The sequence below is a fragment of the Homo sapiens genome (assembly GCF_000001405.40).
Source record: "Homo sapiens chromosome 14 unlocalized genomic scaffold, GRCh38.p14 Primary Assembly HSCHR14_CTG8_UNLOCALIZED".
Taxonomy (NCBI): Eukaryota; Metazoa; Chordata; class Mammalia; order Primates; family Hominidae; genus Homo; species Homo sapiens.
The window spans coordinates 36,133-43,739 of record NT_187381.1 but is presented as its reverse complement, the minus strand read 5'-3'; the positions used below and the strand labels follow the sequence as shown (position 1 = coordinate 43,739).

The window sequence follows — 7,607 nt, the reverse complement described above, 5'->3', positions numbered from 1 at the left end:
CTGCCAAGACGAATCTTTACCATGTAAATCCTTTTCAGAAATGAAGATTAGATTAGAACTTTGCCAGACAAAAAATAAAGGAGTTCTTCACTGCTGGACCTGCCTTAAACACCAAAGGGTCTCAACTAGGTCTGCAGAATAATGATATAGCTGCATCAGCTCCATTCTGGCCTCTGCCATGTGACAGTTTTGTGTGGATTTGCTTTCTACACCCTCATGGCTTTTTTCTGTCTAAACTTCTAAATTCATTCTCCTTTTAATTTGCAGTTTATTGAAAATATTCATATTTAGCTTAGAACATTAAAAAACTTTGGAAAAAAATTCATCTTAAACCCACCAAGTCTAATTAACTCTCTTCAGGGATGCCCGTTTTTTTCTTGTTTTCCTATAGGATATGGCCCTTGTTTCTATCTCAGTTCAGTCCTTGTTTTCGTATGCATGAGGTATCCAACCATCACATGCCCAGGAACACCTTGGAGGAACGTACCCTATCATCCATCCCTTCAGCCTTCACGTGCACAGGGGCCATTCTTTCAGCTGTTGTATGCTTTAGGATTTTCCATTCAAAAGTGTTTTCAATAGCCCCCCAAAGAAAGTCCTTGGACCTTAAAACATGATGTGGTGTTGGGGGCATTGACAGCTAAATTTCACTGAAAGTATCTTCTGTGCTTGGTAATTGGGGAAGACTGGGAAGAAGATAACAAAACTCAGACCCCATGTAGCTCCTCATTTAGCAATAGATTCAGTACAAATTTAGAAAGTTGAAGACATAGAGTAATGTTGCTGTGGTTTTCTGTGATATAATAAGGAGACAGCAGAAGATGGTCAGTGGTCAGTTTCCATCCAGCTGGTACTCATTGTCAATTAGTTAAGTCCTAATAAAGGATAAAATGCAACATTTGTGACAAAGCCCCAGGGTTTGTTTAAAAGACCTTGTCCCAACAGGGACGTGACAGTTTTTATATGAGAGCTACTGTTTTTGCCTAATTCATGTGAAAATCTGAGCGATGTGCCCAGCCTCAGGGGGCTGCTTCTCCCTCCAGGAGATGGAGCTAACAGAGTTGTGTGGTATTAGCCTGTCTGGGTCTTCGTAAGAAGACAAAAGGAGTGGGTGGCTTAAACAACAAATATTGATTTTCTTACAATTCTGCAGTCTGAATGTAGAAGATCAAGGTGCTGGCAGGGTTGGTTCTTGGTGCGGCTTCTTCCTGGCTTGCAGAGGCCCACCTTCTAGTGCACTATGTCTCCACGTGGCCTCTTCTCTGTGTGCATGTGAGAAGTGAGAGGTCTCTGGTGTCTCTTCCTCTTCTTATAAAGACAACAGGTCTATTGCATTAGGGTCTCACTTATGACCACATTTAACGTTAATTATACCATTAAAATTCCGATATAGATCCATTGGATTTAAAGTTTCAGCATATGAATTTCAAAAAGGGCACAATTAAATTGATGACACAAATCAAGAGATGGTGAGAAGCATTAGAATATATATATATAAATAAGGTATAATGGGCTGTGCAGGTACTTGCAGGAAAGTTTTTAGTAATTGGTGAAACTTCAATTGTAACAGGAAAATTTGCCTTACTCCTTTCTTTCCTGGCACAAGGATGTGAGGAAGTAGAACCACAGACAATAAAGAAAGAGGACCTCTACGGAAAGCTGAGGTGCTGGCGAGGAGGGAGATGATGATCTCTGAGAAGATGAGCAAGCCCCGCTCACCCTGCACCTGCTCCTGACCCGGCCTTGTATTCCGTGAGCTCCGCGCGCCCCCTGCTGGCCGTGAGCTGCACCTGCGCCGGTCCCCTCAGCCTCCCTGCAGGGAGGTTTGTGTCTGGGCTCACACTCACCTCCCCTCACTGTGTCTCTCGCACAGTAATACACGGCCGTGTCTGCGGCGGTCACAGAGCTCAGCTTCAGGGAGAACTGGTTCTTGGACGTGTCTACTGATATGGTGACTCGACTCTTGAGGGACGGGTTGTAGTAGGTGCTCCCACTATGATAGATACTCCCAATCCACTCCAGCCCCTTCCCTGGGGGCTGCCGGATCCAGCCCCAGTAGTAACCACTGCTGATGGAGTAACCAGAGACAGTGCAGGTGAGGGACAGGGTCTCCGAAGGCTTCACCAGTCCTGGGCCCGACTCCTGCAGCTGCACCTGGGACAGGACCCCTGTGAACAGAAAAACCCACGGTGAGCCCTGGGATCAGAGGCACTTCCCATATCTTCACGTCTGGATCCCTGAGACACTCACATCTGGGAGCTGCCACCAGCAGGAGGAAAAACCACAGGTGCTTCATGTTCTTGCACAGGAGGTCCATGACTCTCAGAAAGCATTTCCCTTATGAGTTGGACCTGAATTTAAGGAAATGTGTTGTGGCTTCCTGTGGGCGCCTAAGTGAGGATTTGCATGTGGGTGGTGCCTTTGTACGGAGCAGTGAAAAGGGATGAGAGAGGCGCCGGTCTTTTGGGCTCACCCTGGGAGTAGAATGCTGGCTGTGCCCTTTGAGAACTCAGTTCTCTTCTTGGGGCCTCCCCTCGCCAAGCCCAGAGTGCTCTTCTTCCAGGTAAAGAGATGTGCTGAAGGAGCTTGTCTGAGAGATGAGTGTGATCATGGATCAAGGACAGATTGTGGAATAGGGTCAATACTGTTCAACCCTTAAAGATTCATATAAAACCAACCACACACCCAGGTCATCTAAATTGTCATTTACTACTTCAGACACATTGAAACAACAGCTGAATGTAATAATGACAGTGACTTCAAACAATCCTGGATCCATCCAGTGTTTATTGTAGTTCAGAACACCCATCATGGTTAGAGGGAAGCTCCCTGTCCCTGGAAGTGGGTCATTTTAAAAAGCACCTGAGAGCTGTCCTTCTGTGTCCTTTTGAAATTTGGGATTCTGTCTGAGATCTCAGGAGAAGGTAGTGAGACATATCTCCATCCTTCTCAATGTGTGACCTTGAAGATGTGTCCTGGCCTCTAAACACTTCTGAATGAAAATATGTGGATCAGGGATTGCAGTGACAACTTCAGACAAAAACTCTATAACAGGTCAGCACTGGAGGATAGTCTCATGGAGATCATAAAGATTAGTGCGATTACCTTTCCTGGGAACCAGAGAGGACCTGTGTGACCCCTCTCCTCTGAGAGCACAAGGAACTCTGGTCCTTCCCTGACAAGTCACACCTGTGAAACATGGCTGGACAATGACACTCAAGTCCAGAGTCTTTACCCACATATTTATCATTTCAGGTCCATCTGTCTCTGAAAGACCTTCTCCTCCATTGAATTGCATGAACACACCCTAGGATGTGCGGTATTGCAACTTGGGCATTTGACATTAGTTTGGTTAATTATATAATAAATAATCTATCTCCATGGATGTGGGTAACAGGAGAGTCATCAGAAGTGCGATGTGTTTTAAAATCAGGACAAACCTGGGCTTTCTTGTTAGGACCTGAACAACTGGACTGACCTGTGGGACAACAGAGGGAAAGAGACAGACCCCACACCAGAGCCAGGTGAACTCCTTACCTACCAGATGGTTTCTGGGCATTTTGTTTGAACAGATCGAGAGGGAGCTTCCTCACCCTCAGGAGAATTATGAACATTGAGGGAAATGGATATAAGTTTTTATTTACAGAGAATAATTCATAGGCTTGTAGACATCTATGTGGGTGTGTACAGGGTTGCTAGGACATGCTTATACACAGAACAGAAAGAATTATATTTCGTGGAAAGAAAAGCAAAGAGCTTCTGAATTCATAGGTATTGTTTGCACAATGTGTCAGATCACTAGATCATGTTATGATGCTGGAGGTAAAACTTCCCAACATTGCCATGGAGACAAAATGCAAAAGAGTAAAGATTCAAGTGAGATTCCTCTGAAAAATATCAGTAATGAACAGGCCAAAAGAAATGAACCATTATGGAAAGAGGGGTAATGAAATGAAACAATAAATTCCATGTTGAGGTGACAGGGAAGTTCCATCTGAAAGCTCATTTTCACCTCTGTGGGTACTGAGTGCCCCCTGCCACCCAGCTCCCACCCTGAAGGGAGATTTCTGTCTGAGCTCTGTGAGTGAGCTGGAGTCATTGTGAACCATTTAGAAAAGCAGCTGTGTGCCAGGGTGTATGGAGTCCTCCTGAGTTAAGAGGTGCTAAATATACACCAGTTTCACTGCCGTCATTGTATTTTATTCTCTGGACTCTCTTGATGTCCAGATTTGAACACATGGAGCATTCATGGAACTTATTGTGACTGGGAACTTTTCAGTGAAGATGGAGGTAACATGTGGGTGTAATTAAATTTGGGTTTTGAAAATATTATTATCAAAAATTTCAAAGTCAGTACCTATTAATTTTTCTTTTTTAGATTTTACAGATGAAGACTTGCTTGGTTGTGCAGGCTGGAGTGCAGTGTCATCTATTAATTTTATAGCATAAATAGTCTGCTAAAATAGTCATATATGATAATCTTGAGATATTAAATTGAAAAAAATAACTAATTTGAAAATGAACCCAGCTTCCAGGAGAGGTGAAAATTCCTTTGTGGCGAAGGATGTGAAGGGTGTAGACATGGCTGAATACTGAGGTTGTGTTCACAATTGTTTTATTTTAATTAGGGGAAGCTCTATACATCCTTTCTATTTATTAGAAACTCCCATTGAGAACCTTGAACTAATATAATTTGTTGATAGATTACACAAAAACAATGAAGCTGAAGGTTTTTAAGCAGGAATTGCTATTACAACATTAGCTTTCCTTTAGAACGCATTCTTCTACCTGATGTGAAATTAGCCCAGGTGCACTGATGAGAGCTTGTCAGTTAAGCAAAGACCAGGAAATGGGCTCACATGTGTCTAGAACAGGGCATGGCTTTGGGATGCTTTGCTAACAAAGTGGCTTCTCATGTCTTCTGGAAAACCCATCAAAATGGGCAAGTTAAGGATCTCTGAGGAGCACCCGTCTACCCCAAGTTCTTAGCTAATATAAAAGTAGAAGATGATGCAAAATGAGATCATATGGAAGTTAAAGAAACTGCTGCACCACTGCCTCAGCTCAGCACAGCTGCCTCCTCCCTCAGGGTTTTTGACTCTCTCGGGATGTGGGTTTCCACACTGTGTCTCTCATAGAGTCATACACGGCCGTGTCCTCAGCCTTTAGGCTGCTGATCTGCAGATACGCCATGCTGACAGAGGTGTCCATGGAGAAGACAAACCGTCCTGTGAAGCCGTGGGTATACATTGGGTTCCCAGTGTAGGTGATGATCCATCCCATCCACTCGAGCCCTTGTCCAGGGGCTGGTCACACCGAATTCATACCATACTGGCTGCATAGTATTCCATGATTTACATATATCATATTTTATCTAATCATCCACTGATTGACACTTAGATAGATTACTTGACTTTTCTATTAAAAATGGTGTTGAAATAAACATAGGAGTGCAGGCAACATTCTCTGATATAAAAGTTTGGGAGGAACATGCCCACTGGGATGGCTTGCTGGAAGAAATGGTAATTCTAATTTTAGTTCTTTGAGAAATTTCTATGTTGTTTTTCATGGAGGTTGTACTAATTTACATTCTCACCAAGCATATATAAATCATTATTTTTCCTATGTTTGTCTGCAAACACCTGCTGTTTTTTATTTGTAATAACAGCCATTCTGACTGGTGGAAGATGCCATATCATGTTGTTTCTAATTTACATTTATCAGATGATTGGTGATGCTGAGTATATTTTATTTGTGTTGGCCACTTCTGTGTATTCTTTTGATAAATGTCTGTTTTTGTCTATTCTTTAATGAAGTTATTTGTAATTTTTAGTTGACTTATTTGAGTTACTTGTAGATTCTATATATTAGCCCTTTGCAAGATGAATAGATTCCAAATATTTTTTCCATTTGCAGATTGTCTGGTCACCATGTTGGTTATTTCTTTTGCTGTGCAGAAGACCTTTAGTTCAATTAAATCCTGTTTGTCTACTTCTGTTTTTATTGCATTTGCTTTTGAAGTCTTAGTCATATTTTGTTTGCTTAGACCAATGTCCAGAGGACTCTTTTTAGATTTTATTCAAGTATTTTTATAGTTTAATTTATAAATTTAAACACTGAATCCATATTTAGTTAATTTGTGTCTATGGTGATATGGAAGTCTCGTTCTATTCTTCCACATAAGCCACCTAATTTTCCCGGCACCATTTATTGAATAGAGGGTTGTTTCTCCAGTGTATATTTTTGTCAGTTTTTTCAAACAACAGTTGGTTTTAGATATTTGGCTTTCTTTCTGGGCTATTTTTTTCTACTAGTAGCATGCTGTCTTTCTTATTATATTCATGTAGTATAATTTGAGGTCAGAGAATGTGGTGCTTCCAGCTTTGGTCTTTTTGCTTAGGATTGCTTTTGCTATTCAGACACTTTTTTGATTCTGTAGGAATTTTAGTATTTTTTTTCTAAATATGTAATCAATTATATTGGTCATTTGATAAAAATAGAGTTGAATCTGTGTAATGCTTTGGACAGTGTGTTAGTCTCTTTTGCATTCCTATAAATTAATACCTGAGGCCAAGTGATTTACAAAGAAAAGAGGCATATTTGGCTTACAGTTCTGAAGGCTGTGTGAGAAGCATGGCACCAGGATCTGCTTTACAATCATGGTGGAAGGCAAAGGGGAAACAGGCTATGTCACATGGTGAGAGCTGGGACATGAGTGGCAAGAAGGGTTGCCAGACTCTTTTTAACAATCAGATCTCATAGTAGCTAATACAGCAAGAATTCACTAAGTGCCATGGGGTGGTTCCCAAGCCATTCCTGAAGGATCTTTCCCCATGACCCAAAACCTCCCAGTCGGTCCCATCTCCAACATTGAGAATCACATTTCACCATAACATTTGGAAGGGAAAACATCTAAACTATATCATTGCACTCTTGAGTCCAAAATTCTCATGTCCTTGCATTGCAAAATATGATCATCTTTTTTCAGTGGAGAAGCAAGAGCAAACACATTCAAAAGCTAGCAGAAGGCAAGAAATAACTAAGATCAGAGCAGAACTGAAGGAAATAGAGACACAAAAAACCCTTCAAAAAATCAATGAATCCAGGAGCTGATTTTCTGAAAAGATCAACAAAATTGATACACCACTAGCAAGACTAATAAAGAAGAAAAGAGAAGAATCAAATAGACGCAATAAAAAATGATAAAGGGGATATCACCACCGATCCCACAGAAATACAAACTACCATCAGAGAATACTATAAACTCCTCTATGCAAATAAACTAGAAAATCTAGAAGAAATGGATAAATTCCTGGACACATACACTATCCCAAGACTAAACCAGGAAGAAGCTGAATCTCTGAATAGACCAATAACAGGCTCTGAAATTGAGGCAATAATTAATAGCTTACCAACCAAAAAGAGTCCAGGACCAGATGGATTCACAGCCGAATTCTACCAGAGGTAGAAGGAGGAGCTGGTACCATTCCTTCTGAAACTATTCCAATCTATAGAAAAAGAGGGAATCCTCTCTAACTCATTTTATGAGGCCAGCATCATCCTGATACCAAAGCTTGGCAGAGACACAACAAAAAAAGAGAATTTTA

The 7,607-nt window shown here is 41.3% G+C and overlaps 1 protein-coding gene across 1 annotated transcript; it reads right to left on the bottom strand.

Moving 5' to 3' along the window:
- Positions 1 to 251: 251 nt before the first annotated feature.
- Positions 252 to 2,358, bottom strand: LOC102723407 (immunoglobulin heavy variable 4-38-2-like). Its single transcript, XM_011546198.2, has 2 exons — positions 2,251 to 2,358; positions 252 to 2,168 (listed from the first exon to the last, which is right to left on the bottom strand). Exons 1-2 carry the CDS (start codon positions 2,315 to 2,317, stop codon positions 1,582 to 1,584), a joined length of 654 nt encoding a protein of 217 aa, XP_011544500.1. The 5' UTR covers positions 2,318 to 2,358; the 3' UTR covers positions 252 to 1,581.
- Between the last annotated feature and the right edge of the window lie 5,249 nt (positions 2,359 to 7,607).

What these genes read in the sequence shown, in the direction of transcription:
- LOC102723407 (XM_011546198.2), bottom strand. Translation starts at nt 2,317, where the DNA reads ATGGACCTCCTGTGCAAGAACATGAAGCACCTGTGGTTTTTCCTCCTG. An exon ending in GCTGGTGGCAGCTCCCAGAT is followed by an intron (nt 2,169 to 2,250) that starts GTGAGTGTCTCA and finishes TTCTGTTCACAG; the next exon opens with GGGTCCTGTCCCAGGTGCAG.